The sequence below is a fragment of the Homo sapiens genome, chromosome 22 (assembly GCF_000001405.40).
Source record: "Homo sapiens chromosome 22, GRCh38.p14 Primary Assembly".
NCBI lineage: Eukaryota > Metazoa > Chordata > Mammalia > Primates > Hominidae > Homo > Homo sapiens.
In genome coordinates, this window is record NC_000022.11 from 22,731,913 (window position 1) to 22,754,118 (window position 22,206).

Genomic DNA, 22,206 nt, shown 5'->3' on the forward strand with positions numbered 1-22,206 from the left:
TCTTGGGGAAGAAATGTATCAATTTTAATCACTGAAATGTTAACTTTTGATAAATATTTAAGTTTATAAGGAAAAATAAAACCATGCTGATAAAACCACAGTTGTAGGGAATGCTATAGAGTTTCTCCTTTGTGGTTTGAACACAGAAAGGTCCCACCTAGTTAGGCTCATAATTTTCTACCTTAATCTTCTTGTTCTTATGATTAATGGAAAAAATACCATGACAATGATGGTGATGATGGTTCAAGTACACACTGAGGTTTAGTGACAGAAACATCAGGTGCTCCCAGTTACAGTGCAGCTGTTCTTATTGGGGTGGGAAAATCAATCTTGTGTTCAGTATACACGGGAAGCAGGAGTACATGTGGATATGACCACATTTCACTGGACTTATATTTTAAACAGAAGATCTACAGTTTATTCTTCAAAAAATAATAACACTTGCCATGCAAAGTATATATATAAGATGTCTCAAATAATTGTACTTACATTGCATATGAAAGTGATACTATTTTGATATGCTAGGTAAATAAAGTAAATTATTTAACTCATTTACTTCTTCCCTTTGTATTTTTAATGCGATGACTAGACATTCAGATTTCCATGAGGCTCACATCATATTGTGAATGAACAGTGCTGGTCTGCACCCCTTCAGGTTACAGGGGCTGAGGAGTGACCTGGTGCAGGAAGCCCCATCTCCATCCATAGGACATTGGTGTGAACCCAGGGAGAGGCGCTGGTGTAAGAGAGATGAGAACACAGGTGTGAACCACCTGCTTGTGCAGGGGACTGAGCCTTCACATAAGTTGACACTTAAAAAGCCACCACACCCCACCCTTGTCAACAGGAAACCCATTCACATCTCCATCAGCCACACAATCTCCAAGATTCTTCAAAAAGTAATAACAATAGCCATGCAAAGTATATGATATATATCATAAATAATTGTACTTACATTATATATGAAAATGATACTCTTTTTGATATGCTAGGTAAATAAAATACATTATTTAAACTCATTGACTTCTTCTCTTTGTATTTATAACATGACAACTAGACAGTGGGATTCCCATGAGGCTCACATCATATTGTGATTGAACAAGGCTGGTCTGCAGGGCTTCAGGTTACAGGGGCTGTGGAGTGACCTGGTGCAGGAAGCCCCGTCTCCTTCCATAGGACATCAGTGTGAACCCAGGGAGAGGCGCTGGTATGAGAGAGATGAGAACACAGGTGTGAACCACCTGCTTGTGCAGGGGACTGAGCCTTCACTTGGAGCCAAAGTTTTCTTTCCCAGGTTCAATCCTGAACAAGAGGGCCTTCTGGACTTCTTTTTGTTTTCAGGCTTGTGCCCCTTCAGGTTTGGGGCTGTCTGGATCCCAGCCAGGGGACACTGAGGAAATCCAGGAGTCTCACACTGACTGTTCTATTTCATCTGCTGGGGCCATCCCAAACTGCTGTGTACCATTTCCTTTCCTGGTGCTCAAATAGCTGCTCCATGCCCTTGTCATGGTTTCAGAGATGAATCTAGGTGGGAAGACAGGACAGTGTATGTTATAATATTTAAATGGAAGCTGAATCCATTAATATTTATTTTAATATGAAACATTAAAAGAATTTTGTCATAAGCAATGAGGAAAGAGGAAAAGATATTCAAGTTATTTTGAGAAAAAATAAAAATGTATTTATCAAATGTCTGTGTGTCTTCAGTGTCGCAGGGTTGAGAGCAGCCAGCTTTAGGTTGCCCTGAGGATGCGCTCAGATGGGAAAAAGCGAGAAAGCAGGAAACGCGTCTCTGTGACCTGACAGATAAATCACAGTAATGGAAATAAGTCTTTCAATAATTCAAACATTCACAATAAATATCACTCTGATGCACACAGAAAGGCCTGGTAACAAACTTTCCCTTTGACCTGCTGGCTCATATCCCCATGGATCACCTGTGTGCAGAGTGGACTCTCTGGTCCCCATTTCTCAGGCTGAGAACTAGAGGCTGGGAAGGACAAGTGGCCTGCTCATGAGTGGGAAGGGCGGGATTGGGAGCAGCAGACTCGGGCTCAGGACTCTGGCCCTGGTCAGTGCTCCTTGTTCCCTCCACAGGGTCCCTCCCACATGTGCCCGTGTGGATGTGGGTGCACTGCCTGGGGTGGCTGATGTGCTCCAGGGATTCAATGCGGCAGATGCTTCAGCACCAAAGGTAGGGAGTAGGGATGGGACGAGGCTGCAGCTGTGGAGACCAGGGACCCATGATGCCCAGCAGAGGTTTCCACGGGGTGGGTAGCCCCATTTCCTGACAGTAGAGACAGCCTAGAGGTGGGTGCCAAGCAGAGGGCACTGTGCCATGTGCCCAGGCCTGGAGGGCCACAGAGACACAGGCGCCACACAGCAGAGACACTGAGAGCCAGGAGCTCACTCAGGTAAGGGATGTCAGCAGATCTTTCTCTCCTGAGCAAATCAGGTACAAAAAAATTAAGATCCTGCCATCAGAATAGACAAACAGGGACTTTAATCTCCTCGGCTGAGCCCCGCTGTCCAGGGAAGAAGAAGTCTCTGAGCCCAGGCCCAGGTGAGGGTGGAGTGAGGAGAGGAGCTCAGGGTGCAGATTTGCATAAAGGCCCCGCCCTCCTCTGAGGCAGAGGGGATAAGACAGGGCTGGGGTCAGGCCCAGTGCTGGGATCTCAGGAGGCAGCTCTCTCGGAATATCTCCACCATGGCCTGGGCTCTGCTCCTCCTCACCCTCCTCACTCAGGGCACAGGTGAGGCCTCCAGGGAAGGGGCTTCGGGGACCTCTGGGCTGATCCTTAACTCCTGCTCCTCAGGCTCACCTGGGCCCAGCACTGACTTACTAAAATGTGTTTCTTCCTTTTTCCAGGATCCTGGGCTCAGTCTGCCCTGACTCAGCCTCCCTCCGTGTCCGGGTCTCCTGGACAGTCAGTCACCATCTCCTGCACTGGAACCAGCAGTGACGTTGGTAGTTATAACCGTGTCTCCTGGTACCAGCAGCCCCCAGGCACAGCCCCCAAACTCATGATTTATGAGGTCAGTAATCGGCCCTCAGGGGTCCCTGATCGCTTCTCTGGGTCCAAGTCTGGCAACACGGCCTCCCTGACCATCTCTGGGCTCCAGGCTGAGGACGAGGCTGATTATTACTGCAGCTTATATACAAGCAGCAGCACTTTCCACAGAGGTCCAAGTTCCTGGGGAACTGAGACCAAAACCTGCCCTGGGCTCTCAGGCCCCCTCCTTGCTCTGAAGATGCTTCCTCGCCCAGTGCAAGCGGCTTCCTGCAGTGCGGCCTTGAGAATTCTTCTCTCTCAGCTCCTTCCCTTTCCACCATGAATTCCAAAAGGAAACCCGCTCTGTGGTTTCTCATCCAGGACAGGGACAGCTTCCTGATGCTTGTGCGCTGTGGTCCCTCAATGTGCAGCTCTTCCCAGCTCTTCAAATGCAGGGACAGTGACAAGGAGCTGCCTGAGTGGTGCAGTCACTGCTTTTTTCAGGGATGTCTTCACCCTACATGCATCACCATCCCCTACACTGTGGGTAGAATTTTAGCAACTACATTCTAATGGTTATCGCCACAACTTTGATCTTAAATAACAGTGCAGCGAACATCCCTACGCAGACTCCTTTGAGTTCCTGTGTGAATATGACCACAGGATTCATTTCTAAAAGTGAAATTGCAGGTCAGAAAGATTGTGTGTTTGTAATTTTCACCCATTGTTGTCAGATTCCCCTCCAGAGGGATTGTACCAATTTTCAATGCCAGCTGGAAGTACTTGTTCAGAGTACATTGTTGAAAGTGGAAATTTTTGCCAGCTTATCAGACAGAAAAATGTTACCTTGTTACAGTTTTATTTTTGAGTCTCCTGTTCTGCTTACATTTTGGCCCTTTCAGAAATAGTTCAGTACTTTTTCTTTTTTTAGGATTTAGTAAACTTTATAAAAAATATCCAGATAAGGAGAATTTTAGTGTTTGTGGGCAGGCACAGTGGCTCACACCTGTAATCCCAAGCACTTCGAAAGAGTAAGACAGGTGAATTGCTTGTTCCCAGGAGTTTGAGATTAGTCTGGGCCACACAGCAAACCCTCATCTCTATTAAATTAATGCAAATAAAAATAAATTTTAAAAAGAATTATTTTAGTCTTTGTGGCCCAAGAATCAACTTTAGGGATATTACATAGGTACTTATAACATCATTTACAATGTAACCATTTAAAAAGATAAAAATCACTGTTATCTCTGGGCCATGCAAAAACAGTTGTCAGGCCAGGAGTGGCCACAGGATGTGGTTGAACGGTCCCTGGTTTGCAGAGTTATCTGAATGTTGAAAATTCCACCAGCATATGATCTAGGTGGGGATCTCTCTGTGAGGGTCACTGTATTTCACCTCCTGTATTCGGCTGAGGTCTTTCCTTGGATAAGAACATGCTCACATCATCTATTTGATGGGCTCATGGGTTTGCCCAAGACAACCCTGTGTCACAATCACATAACTTTTATCTGCATTGCTTGTTCTGAGTTTTGGGAGAGCTTTAATATATCAGGAATAGACTCCTCCTAAGGGAAAAGTCTGAGGGATATGGATGGGCAAGGGGTCAAGAAAGCTTCTACCAAAGCTGGAATATCCAGGGCAGGCTCAGAGAGAAGGATCCTAATATCAGCATTTGACTGAAGCCAAAACCAGAAGAGAACATGGACGTTCTGAGAATAATAAGTAAATAAACAGTTTAAATTTTAAATGTATTGAATATTCTTATACTCCATGAAAATTCTAGAACGGAATTTAACAATGGGATAAGGAAGAGAGCTTGAGATGTTAAACTATAAAGACCACAAGGCAAGTTGCCAGGAAAAGAACAGGACCTTTTTAGTGGAAATAGGTTTCTGCTGCAAATTACCTTTCCTATGAAATTGGTTTTTAGGTATAAGGAAACATCCCATGGAACATTCTTCTTTCCTACAGTCAAGATCACCCTCACCCCACAAGGGAACCTCAATATCAAATAGAAAAAATAATGCACTTTGTATAACCATTAGGAGAGTCTTTATTTGCACATCAAAATGAGGATGTTTAATGGTAACATTGGAAATAGTAGTTTAATATGCATAAGTGATGAATTTCTTTTGACTATACCATTTCTGTCTGTGATTTATCTTTCTTAATAGGGACATACTCTGTTCTTAAAACAATTTAACTTGTGTTATCTTTTGTTCTATTATCTGTATCAGCTCTGTTTTTTTTTTCAAACACTGGCAAAGTTATTCCATGGTTAATGATTATTAAATTCAATTTATGGATATTTAGATTATTTAAATTATTTCAAGAGTGGACAGATGTGATTTCCCCACATATACCTCACAGATGTTGCTGATGCTGACTTGTTCATCTCTTCCAACCTCTGCAAACAAAGTGGGAAATTGGATTTTTCTGAACACCCAGATGACAACGGGAGAGGAGGTGAAACCCCCCTAAAGCTGTTATCCTTTAACCCCTCATGGTGAATCTCCCATCCACACTTGAGTTGGATGATATGTAAATGAGAGTTTGGTCTTAGAGTTGGTGCTGAGTTAGTTCAGGATTTGGGTTATTGGGATGGAGTGAATGTGCTTTACAAGTCAAAAACTATGAGTTTTTGTGTGCATAGGTTGGAGAGCTCTTGGCTGAATTGTGTCCCCCAGAATTATACAATGAAGTTCTAATGCACAGTGTGTGACTGAATTTGGAGACAGCCTTTACAGAGGTGATTAAGTGAAAATGAGGTCATGAGGGTGGCTTCTTCTCCAATCTGACTGGTGTTCTGAGAAGAGAAAATTTGCACACATAGAAATGAGACACTAGAGATGAGCATGCGGAGGAAAAACCATGTGATGACACAGCAAGGAGGTAGCCACCTGCAAGCCGAGGAGAGAGGCCTCAGGGAAAACCAAACCCACCAACACCTTTATCTTGACTCCCCAGCTTCAGAACTGTGAGAAAATAAGTGTCTGCTCTTTAGGCCAGCAGGTCTTTGGTATCTCATTAAGGTAGCACTAGCAAATGAAAACAAAAGGGACCCCAAAGACCTTGGGTGCCAGAGAAGGAGGAGATGGAGGATGGTGCAGGAGGCGGGGCAGGGAGGGGCTGGAAGTTCAGGCTCTGAGGTGCATCTCTTGGGTGCAATCCTGACTCCACTCACTGCTGTCTGGGGACTTGGGGAAGAATCATTAACCTCCCAATATTAATTCCATAATAAAGATTGGGTCTTGAGCATAGGGCTGCTCATCCTCCTATTCCATATGATGCAAATCTTCTTGAGGTCATGCTTGTAAAACACTCAGCAATGTATCTGGCATACACTATGGCCTCAGAAGTGGTTATTCTGAATTTTCTAGTGATACATAGAGAATGGCATTGTTCCTGTGGGCAGAGGAGGCACTGTGGACCTTGGTTTGAGGACTCAGAAAGACACCAAGTCCTCTGGTAGTGCTCAAGTGCGAAGAGCGTCACAGATGCTTCCTCCCAGGCCCCTTCTATTGGGTAAAATTTACTCTCCACTCCTGACACCCATCTGGTCCTTCTTCTGACCTTAGCACATTATCAGTTTGAAGACTTAAGGCTCAGGGCTCAGATGGGAGCTAGGACAGGCACACTGGGGAATGCGGAGTAGATTTGCATTCACTGCTCATCAGGGAGCCCACCCAACAAGGATACAAGAATAAAAGAAGTAGATTTGCATGAAGAGCCTCTCCTTCCTATGATAAGAGAGGGCTGAAGGTCCCTCCCCGCTGTGGGCTCAGAGACAGAGCTCTGGAGCATCTCCACCGTGGCCTGGACCCCTCCCCTGCTCACCCTCTTCACTCTCTGAACTGCCTCCCAGGGCTCAGCCCCCAAAGGACCAGAGATCAGCCTGGACCTGAGCTTCAGCTCAGCACAGGGAGTGATGGAGAGTGTGGGGTCTGGGAATGACCCTCATCCTCATAATTACCTCTTCTGTCCTCTCTTATAGGCTTTGTGGCTTCCCGTAAGCTGACTCCAGAGCCAGCAGTGTCTGTGGACAGTCAGCAAGGGTAACCTGCCAGGGAGAAAACCTAAGAAGCCATGGTACAAACTGGTACCAGCAGAACCCTGCCAGATGCCTGTGCAGGTCATACATGGTAACAACAACCAGCCCTCAGGGATCCCAGACCGATTCTCTGGCTCCAAGTCAGGAACACAGCCACCCTGACCATCACTGGGGCTCAGGTTGAACATGAAGCTGACTATTACCGTCACTCATGGGACAACAGTGGTACTCATCTCACAGTGACACAGACAGATTGGAAAGTGAGATCTAAAGACCTTCACTGTCTGTATCACCCTCTTTCTCCAGCCATAGCAGGACTGAGCAGGGCTGGCCCGGGTCACCTGGATCGAAGCCCTTCAGGCTGCCCTTCCCTCCAGCCCTCCCGGCAGACTGCAGAGAGTAGGTCAGGATAGGATTTGGGGCTGGCAGAACCAGGCTGTCCTGCTGTTATTTGGAATGGATGTACCTTGGCTCAAGATGACCTGAGTGGAAGGACAGTAAGAGGGAGACAGCTACTGAGTGCTCATGGTCACTGAATTTCCTCCTGTGTGTTGACTGAACCCAAGACAGTGCCTCTACTCTGTGGCCCAAATACCCTGGATTATTTCTCTGAACTGCCCATGTTTAACTGAGACCCTCAAGCCCCAGCTTTGTGCATCCTGATGTTCTGAACATGGAAGCCTTTCATAATGTGCACTGTGACATCCTTCAGATTCCCATTTCAGGACTTATGCACCCACCATCCACCCAGGGCTGCAGGGAGTTCCTGGCTTCTCACAGCTCTTCCCCACCAGAAACTGCCATGCAGTACAGAGAATAGCTTTGCTCAAAGAATTGCCCATTTCAAAATGTGTTTCATGGGCAGTGACTCCCTGATTGCCTTAATCTGAAAGTCATGCTTTAATTTAAGACCCTGAATATCAAATTGAAGTGCCTTCTAGCTGAACGCTCAATTGTAAAACATTCCCAGTCACACACTCCACACTTCTTTCCTGAGAATGTATCCTGAAACCCTACTGCATGGAATCCTCCCTCTCAGAGTAGGATTGCAGGGAACTCAAAAATTAAAAACAAACAAACAAAAAACAGTCTAGAGGGAAAAGTATTGAAGAGGAGAGAGAGAGTTGCACAAGGAGACAACTCTGAAGTCTGCAAATATTCATGCACTGAAGAGCGCTTGTGTGTACAGAAACTCCCTCTGAAAGAGAAAGACCCTTGAGGGAACACTCCAAAGAGCGCGCGCGCACGCGCGCGCACACACACACACACACACACACACACACATTCCAGTCACAGAGGAAAGGCCTGAGTTATGGGGCATGAGGTGGACTCATCAGAAGAGCTTCGGCTCAGTATTGAGGAAAATGTCGCCCTAGACATAGGGCTACTCTGCTCTCAACTAAGAAAGTGTAGAAGCAAACTGAGAAAAGTTAAGACAGTTTCCAAGTAACTTTACTGAATCCAAAAATAAAAGACGAAAATAGAGAAGAAAATGCAAAAGAATTATAAACTCAACAAAGAAAACTTCACAATGATTGGCATTCAATCAACATTTCCTGCAAGGAAAAAAGAAAATATATGCTCTAACACAGAGAAAAATGAATCAATCCAAAGTGGCAATAAAATTGTATACGTGATAGATAGACCTTGTATGCAAAAATTTTGGAGCAATTCTTATAACTCTTCTCCTTGCTCATGAGGATAGAGGATTGATTGAAGGTGTTAAGTGAAGAAATGGAAGGCATGAAGAAAAATCCAAGTTTAACTTTTAGAAATGGTCTCTAAATATCTGCATTGAAAAAATGCACTGAATGAGAATGATTGCAGGTTAGGTGCTGTGAAAGAATAGTTGAGTGAACTTGAAGACATGGCAATGGAAGCTATTCAAGATGAAGTACAAAAAAAGTGAAGAGAGCACCAGTGAATTTCAGGACATCTTCAAGCTGACTTACTTGGTATAATTAAAGGCATGAAAGGAGATAACATTGGTGAGGGGAGAGGAAAGGTAGAAAAGCCGTTTAAAGGAATCATGGCCAAAATTTCCCAAATTTGTTGAAAGCTAGAAACCTACAACTCCAAAAATCTTAACAAGTTACACACACACACACACACGCAAGTAATACAACACCAATACTCATCATAATGATATTGCTAAAAAACTATGATAAAGACATACTTTTAAAAGTAGCCATAGAGTAAAGACATGGTAGGTACAGGCGAACAACATAAGAAGAAGAACAGATTTCGTTTTCTTTGTAAAATTTTCTTCAACATCTGGGGGAACATAGTAGATATATGTATTTGTGGAATACATGAGATATTTTGATACAGGCATGCAATGTGAAACAGTAACATCATGGAGAATTGGGTATCCATCCCCTCAAGCATTTATCCTTTGTGTTACAAACTACTCAATTACAGTATTTTAGGTATTTTAAATTGTACAATTAAGTTGTTATCGATGTGCTATCAAATAGTATTGACATAACTCTGATGCGCTATCAAATAGTAGGTCTTATTCATTCTTTCTATTTTATTTACCCATTAAGCATCCACAAATAAGAGCAGATTTCTTCTTAGAAGTCATGCGAGCAGGAAGCTCGCATGTGGAGCTATATTTATAAAATATTAAAAGAAAAAACTTACTACCCAAACCCATCTCCAGACCATGAATTTCTCTCTGGATATCTTATTAAAATATTGTCTCCTATCAAATCTCTATCAAAATACCAATGACATTCACAGAAGCAGAAAAAAAATTCTGTAACTGGTATGGAACCACAAAAGCCCCTGAATAGCCAAGCAATACCAAACAAAAAACCCCAAGATGAATATATCACATTATCTGAATCAAAATATACTACAAATTATGGTAACCAAAACAGGATCAATGGTATTGGCATAAAATCAGACATTGAGACTAATAAAATTGTATAGAACACACCAAAATAAATTCATGTATTTACATCCAACTGATTTTCAGCATAAATTCCAAGAACATACATTGAGAAAAGGACGCACTTTTCAATAAATGGTGCTGAGAAAGTGGATACCCGTATACAGAAGAATGGAACTAGACCCTTGTCTCTCTCCGTATACAACAATCAACTCAAAATCTATTAAAAACCCCAAGTATAAGACCCAAAACTATAAAACAACTAGGAGGGAACGTAGAGGACATAGGGAAAGTTCTTCAGGACATTGGTCTAGACAAAAATTCCATAGCTAAGACTTCAAAAACACAGGCAACAACAAAAACTAGACATATGGGACTTCATTAAACTAAAAATCTTCTGAAAAGCAAAGGAAACAATCAACAGAGTGAAGACAACTTGTAGAATGAGAGAAAATATTTGCAAACAATTCAACTCAAAAGGACCTAAGATCCAGTATAAGAAAATAAGACAAGGAGCTGAAATAACTCATCAGAATAGAAAACCAGTAATAGCATTAAAAAGTGTACAAATGATATGAATAGACTTTTCACAGTCAAAGACATACAAAAGGCCAATAGGTTAATTAAAAAATGCCCAATATCCCTAATCACCGGGGCATGCAAATCAAAACCTCCATGAGATATCATCTCATCCCAGCTAGGACAGCTATCATTAAGAAGACAAAAAAATAACAAATGCTGGTGACGATGTAGCAAAAATAGAAGACAAAACCACATGGTCATCTCAGCAGTCACATCAAATGTTTTCATGTAAGGAAACATTACCATTTGCTGTTTTTCTAGTCTTGCTAGAGCACCATAAAAGATAAGACTAGTGGTGCCAATACTGTAGAAAATGTTATTACATGCAGAGAATCTCACTATCCCATACCAAACTACATGGATTCTTACTGTTAAATGCTAAAAGATTACAACTCTGCATTTCCAAATGTTCTGGTGGTCAGAGACCACTTCCTTGACAAGTGATGAGTACGGTGATGTGAAAGGATAGTTAGCATTTACGCAGGTATTGGGTGAAGAATAGTGATATACACAGGAAAGCTTTCAAAGAGAGAAACACATGGAGGTTGGAACACAGAAGAGAACATAATATGTCTGAGAAATAAAGAAAGTCCAGACTCACTGGAGCTGAGTGAGAACAAGAAAAACGGCATGAACCATGTATTTCACTCTGGATATCTCATTAAAATATTGTCTCCTCCCCAACACACCACCGATGTGAATTGTAAAAATGCCCGTTCTTAAATTATTTTTTGCACATCATGACAGGGTCAAGCATGTGAATCAAGCTGAGTTTGATGAGTCCAGGTCTGTCTGATGAGTCCAGACCCAGGTGGCCTCAGAAGGACTTGGTGGAACGAGGGCTTGTTGTCAAAAGTAGAGGAAGTGAGATTTTCCATTGTGGCTTAGACAAGAGATTCTTAAATTTCAGTGGACACACAAGGCCCCTGAGGGGTCTCGGTAAGATGTAGATGCAGCCTCAGCAGTTCTGGATGTGGCCCCAAATTCTCTGTGTCCAGCAACTCCCAGGTGAGGCTGCTGCTGCTGGTCCTCCCAGGACCACACTTTGAATGGCTTAGCTCTTATTCACCCACCTCACTCAAGCCACAGGTAAGACTCACACAAGGAGAGCATATTCTAGAAGCACAGGTCACTTCTCACTCCTCCCCTTGTGTCTTAGATCCTTTTCTGTTACAACAAAGAAGTACCCAAGGCTGGGTAATTTATAGAGAAAATAAAAGGTTTATTTGGCTCACAATTCCAATGGCCACAGAGTTCAAGATATGGCATCTGCTCTTGTTGAAGACCTCAGGCTGCTTCTAGTCATGGTGAAAGGTGAAGGGGAGCCAGTGTAGGCAGAGGTCAATGGGGGAGAGGAAGCAAGAGAGAAGAGGAAGATGCCAGGCTCTTTTAAATAACCAGCTCTTTCGGAAACAGTGGGAATTCACTCACCCCAAGTGAGGACATTAATCTATTCATGAGAGATCCACTCCCATCACCCTAAAAGCTCCCATTAGTTCCCACCTCCAACACTGGGGATCCAATTTCAACATGAGATTTGGAGGCGACAAAGATCAAAGCCATAGCACCCTGAGGTTTGGCCACGCACTTGCTCATCTCCACATTTGTCCCTCCCCTCATGACTGGGGTCCTGACCACTCTGACTCAGTCTCCCTCCACTTCATGGACACCTGGCAGTCGGTCATCATCTGTTTTGCTGAATCAACAGCAGTATTGGGGGTATTCAACATTCCACATTTGTATTGTTTGAAAATTGCCCAATCTTAGGTGTTTTGTTATTGCTACACAAACAGACTAAGACATTTACTATTTAATGGTTACATTTCATTCTCTTTTTATGAAATTTTGTTGCTAACAGGGACTTTCTGCTTGGTCAGAAGATTAACAATTGTGTCTCCTGGTTCCACCAGAAACAGAGTAGAGACCCACACAGCTGAGGTATGGGGTCATAGATTAAAACTAAGAGACATAAGATTGATTCTCAGGCTCCAAGTCTGGCAAGTGAGCTTCTTTGAGACTCCCTGGGATCTCAGCAGTCAGACTGATCATTATTGCTGTCCCAAACATCCTATGTGATATGGAAGTAATATCAAAACCCTCCTGAGATTCCTGACTTGTGTCCCGACATGAAGTCTGTTGGGATTCCTGTCATTCCTTCAAGATTGTTCAAATAAGCAGCAACAATCACTCTCATATGAGATATGAAAAGAAGAATTCCACATGAACCAAACCCTGAAGCCCACACTGAAGTCTGCCAAGTTATCTGCAGTCCAGCGCGATGGAGGGAGCATTTTCGTGGGGACTTTTGAGAGTATGGAGAAGGCCTGAGGAAACGAGGCTCAGCTATGGGTTCCAGAAACAAAGCTCTGGGATGTCTCCCCATGGCCTCGACCTCTCACGTGCTACCTCTCCTCACTCTTTGCACAGATGCTGCCCCAGGCTAAGCCCCCACAGGACCCTAATCCTAGTCCTGACCCTGAGCTCAGCCCAGGTGATATTTCAGGAGATGGGACCCTGAGAATGAGCCCTAAAGTCTCCTTATCCTGCAGCCCCTGTGGTCTCTTAGACTCAGCTACCCCCAGTAGAGTTGGCCATGAGACACCTGTCCCCCACCTGCTCAGGAGAGAGTGCAGCAGGCAACAGTGCAGAGAGAACCAGCAGGAGCCAGGCCAGGCGCTGCATTCAGAGCAGCCCCCAATCCAACAGATTCTCCAGCTCTAGCCTGGGGTACAGCCCCCACCTTCTGCGGGCTGAAGTGGGCTTCTCAGGATGGGCAGGCCATGATGGGGATTGGCAGTGTGTCCATGGGACACAGCCCTACTGCCTGCCTGGCCCTCATGCCCCCTCCCTCCCCATCCTGGTTAAGCACCACCCCAACGGGCCCAGTTTCAGAACTCAGGACACCTGGGCCAGCTCCTGGACTTGCCCCCACTGCTCTCTGTTCTCCTGAGCCACTTAGTCTCTTTTGGCCTCAGTGTTACCTGCTGTGAAGTGAGGAGCCTTATACTGAACTGAGGAAGCTCTTTCTTCATTCAAAATTAAAAGACAGAAAAACAACGAAAGTCATGCGAATTAAAGCCTGATGAGGGGATGTCACTTAATGGGCTTCAATGGGCTTCAGACAAAACTTCTTGTCTTTCCTCTGCAGGGATTCCAAGAAAGGGACTCAAAAAGAGCTTGCTTTCTGTATGGTGGGAAGAGCAGTCCCCAGCTGAGAATAAGCAGGAGAGTCCCAGTTTAATCAGGAAGACAGACTAGGGTAGTGTAGAAATCCTCTCAGCACAAACTCTGAGAAGTATGGAATGAAATAAAGACAAACAAGAAATTAATGGTGCCGACGGTGGTGATGTTAGCTCACAGCTAAGCTGCAGAACCAGAAACATGCGGTGATGGGCTGAGTCTCCTCCACCAGCTGGGGGCAGCAGAGCTGCAGCCAGGAGCTTTCAGGAGAGAGGCTGGGGCTGCCCAGCTGGGGCAAAGAGAAGGCCAGCCTGGGGTTCAACAGGTGTCCAAGAATCTGTCTTCAGACTGAAAGTGAGTGCAGTTCATCCTATCCCCTCAGGCTTCAGTGACCACGCTCTGAGGGTCAGACACACGGTGTCACCCCAGGACACTGACAGAAGCCTGGCACAGTGAAGGCCTCACCAGGGAAATGCAGCTGGAGGAGGCTGGGCCCAGATGTGAGCTTGGGCAGCTTCCTCAGGAAGGGGAATCCCTGGGAGGCGTCCCAAGGTCGAGGTGCTCTAGGAGGGGGTATAGTGTGAGGTGATGGGGCTCCCAGGGCCCGGGTTCTTCACCCAGGATGGCGGCCTGAGCCTCCTGCCACTCTCAGGGTGTCATCCCTCCTGGTCCAGCAGTGTCCTGGGGAGCTGAGCCCTCTGTCCTGGGCACTTCCAGATACACCCGACCCCTCCTCCCTCTGCCTTTCCTTCCAGCTCCAGGCGGACTCTGACTCAGGGGGCAGCTCCTGTACTCAGGGGAGTCTCGGGTGGGTGTGGTGGGGCATTTGGGACCCTGGCCCTGGATGGGCATCCCCAGCCTCCTTCAGGAGACACTCTTCAGAGGGACAGGGCTTCTCACCTGCCTCAGGCCACAGCTCTGACCATGGTGCTGTCCACGCTCAGTGACAGGACACTGAGCAGGGGCCTGGCTGGAGTAACCAGGGACCACCCAATCTCTGGAGCTCACATGCTGTGCAGAGACCATGACCCTGGGACCCTTACAGAGACCATGGACCTAACGTTAGATTCTCAGTCCAGTGTGGTTTTCTGCTGCTTTTTGCAAGTTTACATAAAATATTGATGAGAAAAACATGAATAAATAACAGACAAGTTGACGGTGCTGATTGCTAATCTCTTGTGGCAATGAGGGGTGATGTAGCAGGAGCAGCACCACGACTGAAATGAGACCAGATGCCATGTTGACTCCACAGGGGTGTGTGGTTGCTTAAATGACCCAAATATTCCCACTGAATAATCAGCAAGTGTCCTAATGACACAGCACAGCATTTAGATGAAATGAACAAGAGGGGACTGAGTCTGAGGGACCAGGAGGAGGAAGATCATGGGTCCCTGGGCCACCTGCTGCTGAGTCAGGTGTCATCATGATCTCTCCACAGAGCCCAGCTCAGCCCCATGGCCAACCTCCTGGAAGGTCCACAGCTCTGCTGAGCCTGGCCCAGGACAGACCCCAGGTCAGCGAGGTTTGGGACAGTGGTCATGAGGTTAATTCCCACAAAGGTCTATGATCACAGGGCTTGAAGGCTGCAGCTGATTTTCTAACCAGAGACCCTGCTTGTTCCTCCTGTTGCCTGTGCTGCCCTCACAGCTGGTTTGAGAGACATCTCTCCAGGAAGAGCCACAGAGGATGTAAATTTGCATAAACGCTTAACACTGACTGCCCCCGAAAGCCTGAGAGGGAATAAGAGAGGCCTGCGGAGCCCAACTGTTCTGTGGGTCCAGGAGGCACAGCTCTGGGAATCTCACCATGGCCTGGATCCCTCTCCTGCTCCCCCTCCTCACTCTCTGCACAGGTGCTGACCCCAGGCCCTTCCCCAGGCTCAGTCCCCACAGATTCCAAGTTGAGCCTGACCTGAATCCTGAGCAAAGCCCAGACACAGCCTCTGGGTGGGACTCCTGGAAATGGGTCCTTTGTCTTCAAGCCCCCTCTCTTGTTCTTCCTTGCAGGCTCTGAGGCCTCCTATGAGCTGACACAGCCACCCTCGGTGTCAGTGTCCCTAGGACAGATGGCCAGGATCACCTGCTCTGGAGAAGCATTGCCAAAAAAATATGCTTATTGGTACCAGCAGAAGCCAGGCCAGTTCCCTGTGCTGGTGATATATAAAGACAGCGAGAGGCCCTCAGGGATCCCTGAGCGATTCTCTGGCTCCAGCTCAGGGACAATAGTCACATTGACCATCAGTGGAGTCCAGGCAGAAGACGAGGCTGACTATTACTGTCTATCAGCAGACAGCAGTGGTACTTATCCCACAGTGACACAAGGAGACAGGGAAGTGAAACATAAACCCCTCCCCCTCTATTTCATCCCCTTCCTTCTGCCCCAGGAGGACTGTGGACAAAGCCATGAGCAGGCTTGGCCAAATTCACCCAAATTTGAACCCCCAGGCTGCCCTTCCCTCCAGCCCTCCAGGCAGGCGCTGCAAAGGAGTCAGTCTGCAGTGGATTTGTGCCTGGCAGGCCTGGCAGTCCTGTGTTTCTTTGCCTGGGGTTTGAGTTGTTGATGGAGGGTCTGACTGGAAAGACAGACACAGGGAGACATCCATGCAGGCATGTCCAGAGGGATGTGGGGAACTCTCAGGTCTCAGTTCAGTGCAGTCATTGTTGTATCCTCTGGGAAAGCATTCCTCCAGTGCACCTAAGACCTCTAGACCCACAGAGCCTGAGGTCGGGATGAGAGAATGTCAAATTTTTGCTGATGGATCACTAAAGGCATTTTTGAGTGGAGCCACTACAATTTACTCCTTGATTCTGGACTCGTGGATCCTGACTGTGGGAGAAACAGCACCATCTATTGGGCACTGATGCACAGCACATGCCCCATCCTGGAAGACATTGCCCAACCCTACACATACTTGCCACTTGCCTGGTGCAGTAATGGAGTCTCCATGCAGTCATTAAACCATTCATATAAGCCACATGTCTCAGAATGTTGGGGACAAGAGTAAGAATCTTGAATGCCAGGAGAAAAGGCCCATAGCCCTTTATTTGCGGTGAAACGAGTTCCTTGGTCAGAACCTCCTGTGGAATACCATCGTGATGGGTGCATCATTCTGTAATCCAGAGATAACAGTTTTGGCAGAAGCATTGCTGTCAATGAAAGCAAATCCTCTGTACATGCCAATGCTAGTAAGGAAAAAGAGCTGTCTCTCCCATGATGGAAGAGCTCTAATGAAATTAATATCAAGCAGGCCCCTGGCTGTTTTCCACAGAGAAGGTCATCCTATAGGGATGCCTGTGTTGGTCTCTGCTGTTGACAGATTGTCACCCAGCAGTGGCTTCAGCCAGGCCAGCTCCAGTTAGTGGAAATTCACATTGATGAGCCCATTATCAGCCTCTATCCCTGCCACCATGGCCACATTTTTTTGGAGTCTGTTGGACAATGACAGGAGTGGTTGACGGAGGCTGCCTGGTGTCCATAGAACAGGTCACCCTACTCACCTGATTAGCAAAATCACTTCATTTTCACAGAAGACTTAGTGAGTATTTATATATGGAAAAAAATTCTCATGCTTTTTGCCCACTGGAGGAGGTCTACTCACACATCTCTCCCCCTGACATATTTGTGATCAGTATTCCTGTTGTATCTCTCCCAAGTTCCTGAACATCCTTGACCATATTCCAGGACCCTGAGTCACAGCCCATGAATTAGGAACCTCTGCCCATCTCTTTGCAGGTGACATGAGCCAATTACACTGCTTAAAATTCTGCTTTAAGGAGAATGTTCTTCCACCACTGCTGTTCAGGGATTCTCAGAGGCCAGGTGGAGTACTAGCACCGTTCACACCAGTGGTGGATGCATGTCCTGCAGAAACATCTGTAACCCCAGCCTAATTGCCTCCTACTAGGCAGCTGATCTCAGGGAGCCACTCTGGAGGCCAAGGCTGTAGGGTGAGAGGAAGGCATGGTGCAGGGCTTGGGTCATGTCTGTTTGGCCAACTCTTCACGCAACTTACTTGGCCCTCGTAACCTAATCCCTCAAGTCACAAATACATCCCTGCCGTGTGATTGGGGAGCTGCCTAAAATGGCCACCCGGGACTGTGTTTCAGACGAAATCCAGCATATCAGCAACTTGAGTCTCGTGGTGAGCTCTGTGGCCACAATCACACAGAGCCTCTGCCAAGGCTCAGGAGCCCTCGCAGTCTTTCTCAAATGGTGTTTTCTGCTCATTCAAAACAAAATAAGTAGGGGGGGGGGCTGCTCACGTGCTTCCAGTCTGGGACACTAGGACCACCTAAACCACACCCACGATCTTGTCTGATTATTTTGATTCCTTGTTGGCTCAGTTATGCATTATGGCAACCAAACCACAGTGTCATTGGCCATAAAATGCCAATCCTTGGTCCCCACCTACCCTGGGATCCCCTCAACCACATCTTGCTACCCAGTTAAGGTTTCAGCAACACTGAGAAAAATGTATTTTTATATTGAGAGAGGAAACATTCTTTCAATTGTGAAAAATTTATAAGGCAGGAATGTGAAAATATTTTAAAAGACATTTTACAAAGGGTGAAAGACCCTCCATTAAACCACTCAATATATGACACTGTAATTGGCCTCCCAAACCCTGACTTCAGCTCTGGGTTGGGACCTTCTGTAAAGGGGCCTTTCATCCTCAAGCCCTCCTCTCCTCTCCTCTCCTCTCCTCTCCTCTCCTCTCCTCTCCTCTCCTCTCCTCTGCTCTCCTCTCCTCTCAGCCTGTGCCTCCTACATACAGAGACAGCTGCTCTCAGTCTTGGTGGCCCTGAGACTGACAACCATGATCACATGCTCTGGAGATAAACTCAGGATAAACATACACTTAGGAACCAGCAGATGCCAGGCCAGGCCTCGGTGCTTGTAATCTGGTATAACAGCAAGTGACCCTCAGGGACCTCTGCCCAATTCTTAGGCTCCAAATCAAGGAACATGGCCACCATGACCATTAGTGGGGCCCAGGCCCGCGACAAGGCTGACTATTACTATACTGCAGATAATAACAGTGGGAGCAGCTGGCAGGGACTCATAGTAACACAGAGAGATAGGGACTAGCCACAGTACTGTCCCACCTCGGCCTGCCTCTCATTCTCACCTGCCCTCTGAGCAGCTATAGGTCAGGCCTCAGGGTCAGGTGTCCTCTCTGGTCTTAACCTGGCCCCTGAGGGGCTGGAGGTTCTGAGCAGCTTCTCCATCCTCTCAGGGCCTGCATGTGTCCAATGAGAAGTGGACAGGGTGAAGGTGGTCAGAGCTGCCAGGACCTTTGTCAGGTTTGTGGTGTACATGAACAGTTTAGGAATCCACACAAAAGCACATGGTCCCAGTTGTAATCATACGTCATGCAGGGGAGGAGAGAGCTGTCGCAGAGGGCACAGTCCTGCAGAATTTCTCCTTTCCTTGGGTAAAACCAGCTCAGTGGAAGCCCCAGGGGCTGTGTCTCCTCTGGTTTCCAGATGAGTTGACCCCCACATTCTAATAGGTTGCCTGATGCCTGACAAGGACTGGAGACCCAGCCCCTTTTGGCCTCAGGGCCCTTTCTGTACTGATATTTCTCAGAAACTGAAGAGGAAGCACAGACACTACCTTTGGTCCCACCTGGGAACTGTGTTTGGGGCACACTGACCTCCCATGGCCCCCAAAGTCCCATCACCTTCCCCAGGTAGGTCAGTCCTGACTGGATGTGCCCCCAGCGCCCTGATAGTTTGGAGTTTATCTTTGGGCTCTGGGCTGCTTTCTGAGGAGCTCACTAAGAAACCCTTGATGCCAGGCCCAGGACCTGCGCCTCTGCTGCATGTCCCAGGGCTGCAGGTGTGAAGGGAGGGTCCTGCTGGGTGAGGGTGATGCCCTTTTCCAGGAGAGATGTCTGATTCCAGTCTCTAGGGCCACATTTATTGGGCTTTCTTTTCTCACTAGGATGTCTCAGTCTTTTTATTTCCTTCTTTAAAAGTACAACTGGTTTAGGGTGACCTGCTCGGGTCCCCTTCCACATTGTAGAAGCTTTGTTATTTCACTCTTCACAAAAAATCTCGCTGCTGCTCACTCTTTGGGTCCATGCCACCTTAAAAAAAAAGTACAACTGGTTTAATCATGAAATCATGTGTACACACTGAAGTTTACAGATTATTGCCATCAGCATATATATATATATATATATATATATATATATATATACTGTTTCTGGTTGGGACAACTGTGGACAAGGCCATACTGGGGTCTCTGTCTCTCTCGTTATCACAAGTGAGGATACTAACAGCTCTCTTTTATGCAGACTGTGGTCATGTTTCCCAGTTGCACACGAATGTCTCTTATGGTTGTTTAGTTTCCTTACCAGCCAAGACCCTTAAGTTTTCATGCAGACAATTGGATGTTATTTCTCTCTGACCCAACATTTTTCAAACAGTATTCCTTGGAACCCAACAAAAGTTCCACAAGAAAAGCTCAAGTCTCTGGTGCACAGTTGGACCAGGTTCATTGTGTGCAGTAGGACCTTGCTCAAGTGATGGGTCCATTTGATATTTTCACTATCAAGGGGAAGGGTGTTACGACTTTTGGGCACTGAGTTGATAGAGGGAAGATAGCAGCTGATGATGGCCCTACCCACCAATGTGTGTGTGGGCAGTACCTATTGATGGATTTAGAAGTTGAGGGAACTGTTTATTCTGCAGATGGAATTTCCAGTACTGAATCTCCAGCACCCAGCCACTAGCATTCAGCAGGTGCTCTGTAAGAAGACCTTCACTGCCAATCACAGCCATTACACAGGTGAAGGAGAGGATGACTTTTAACAGCCACTGACTCACAGTAAACTGAGGTAGAAATTCAGCTTCACAAAGTGACTTTGAGGGAACAGACTGAGGAAGCAGGTTAATTATTCGCTGAAGGCTTTGCCCAGAGCAGGAACAATACAGGGTTGATGAGGACGTAGGGATGCCCTGGTGTGGAAGGAACAAGGCCTGAACCAGGAGCAGGAAGAAGCATGGGAAAGACCACGCTGCCACATGTGATGAGTCAGCACATGGAAGGCACAGCAAATGTTGCGCAAAGGTTTTTGTGTAATAACCTGGCAAACAGCTGCTTCTCTATCCAGATTCATGAGCCAAAAAATGTTACTGATGCATTGCTGTCACATGTTAAAATGCTGGGAAGCATGGTGACATTCAAGGAAACCTGTTCTCTGCAAACACCTACCCACCGGCACAGGAGACACCCCAGCTATGCCAAGGGCTTTGTCTTCCTCTGGAGTAAGAGCCTGGGAACAATCAGGTGGCCCCTGAAAGGGGTGCCGCGTCTTCTGCTCTGCATGGCTGAGTTAATTGGGGAACTCCCAGAGAACATTCCAGAAAACAGTCAACCTGTCTGTGCTGGGTGCATTGAGCATGACCCAGGATCAATGGAAGAGACAGAAGCTTAATTTCCTTATGGCTGCAAGGTGAGCACTGGGAGGACGGCTGAGGCAGGTTAGCCACCGCCCCTGAGTGGCTTCAGCCCCAGGCAAACAGGGACAGGTGAAGGGCCTATCTGAGCGCACCTGTATCTAACCAGTCCCAGCATCAGCAACTGCATCCTGTGGACCACGAGGGGGTGTGTGTGCCCAGCCCCTCACAGATCACCTGAGCATAAACAGGAAATTCTCCACCTTACACCCGACTGCACAACACATCTGCCTCCAGCTCTTCATTTACAAGGTGATATCACATCAGACAGGGACTGATCTGGGTCCCAGATCCCTCAGGTTTCCGCTATCCTTTCCAGTCCCCACACAGAGCAGACTCTTCACTGCAGGGTGTTGAGCCAGCTCTTCCCCTCACAATGCCTGTTACAGGTTTACAAGTTACTGTTCTCCAATATGATTGGGGTTTGTTTCACTGTTTCTCTATATATATATATTTGCATTTTCTTGGGTAAGCTGAGCCCCTTGTACCTGGTCTTGAGTCAGGCAGGGGCCACACAGAGAAGAGGACTTCCTCCCCTGGCACCAGCCGTCCACAGATCAGGGCATCAAGGACCTGAGCAGCAGGTTCTGAATCCACACCTAGACCCCGGAAGTCCCTGAGCTCCCAGCCGACAGTGTGGAGCAGCCACCAGGGGGAAGCAGAGAATCAACTGGCAAAGCGACCTGGGGATGGGGCAGGCCTGGGTGATAGGGAGATGCTGACATGCAGTAAGAGCCAGTGACCACCACCTCAGATTTAGAGGGAAAGGGTCTTTATTGTCCTAGAGTATTGTCCTTGACACTGATGTAAAAATTCTAGAATCACATTTTGTCTTCAGCTCTTTTGCATGCTGACTCTTTGTCTGACACAGATCCAGGCACTTGACTTCTCACAACGCCCCCTCCTCCACACCCAGTTGTGCTAAAACTGCATCCCCCTCATGTGCAGTGTCCTCTCTGAGGTCACAGGTATCCCCCTACTCCCATTTGATCTGGGAACCCCTGTCCTGCAGACATAGTGGCTGGCTTCTAACTTCCT

At 46.7% G+C, this 22,206-nt stretch overlaps 1 pseudogene, 2 gene segments (V, D, J or C) and 1 further gene, besides 2 other annotated features; all 4 read left to right on the top strand.

Moving 5' to 3' along the window:
* The window catches only part of IGL (immunoglobulin lambda locus), an 896,838-nt gene that overhangs the window by 705,837 nt on the left and 168,795 nt on the right, over positions 1-22,206 (top strand).
* Positions 1,712-2,212: an enhancer, noted in NCBI's record as "H3K4me1 hESC enhancer chr22:23076112-23076612 (GRCh37/hg19 assembly coordinates)". NCBI's record gives its function as "activates a minimal SCP1, AML or CMV promoter by ChIP-STARR-seq in primed H9 embryonic stem cells {active_cell/tissue: H9 hESC(primed)}" and the evidence as "EXISTENCE:reporter gene assay evidence [ECO:0000049][PMID:30033119]".
* Positions 2,708-3,177, top strand: IGLV2-18 (immunoglobulin lambda variable 2-18). The segment is given in 2 exon segments: positions 2,708-2,753; positions 2,870-3,177. Coding segments are annotated over 2 exon segments (354 nt in total).
* Positions 6,999-7,279, top strand: IGLV3-17 (immunoglobulin lambda variable 3-17 (pseudogene); annotated as a pseudogene). The gene is given in 1 exon segment: positions 6,999-7,279. A coding segment is annotated over 1 exon segment (281 nt).
* Positions 14,270-14,770: an enhancer, noted in NCBI's record as "H3K4me1 hESC enhancer chr22:23088669-23089169 (GRCh37/hg19 assembly coordinates)". NCBI's record gives its function as "activates a minimal SCP1, AML or CMV promoter by ChIP-STARR-seq in primed H9 embryonic stem cells {active_cell/tissue: H9 hESC(primed)}" and the evidence as "EXISTENCE:reporter gene assay evidence [ECO:0000049][PMID:30033119]".
* Positions 15,509-16,009, top strand: IGLV3-16 (immunoglobulin lambda variable 3-16). The segment is given in 2 exon segments: positions 15,509-15,554; positions 15,709-16,009. Coding segments are annotated over 2 exon segments (347 nt in total).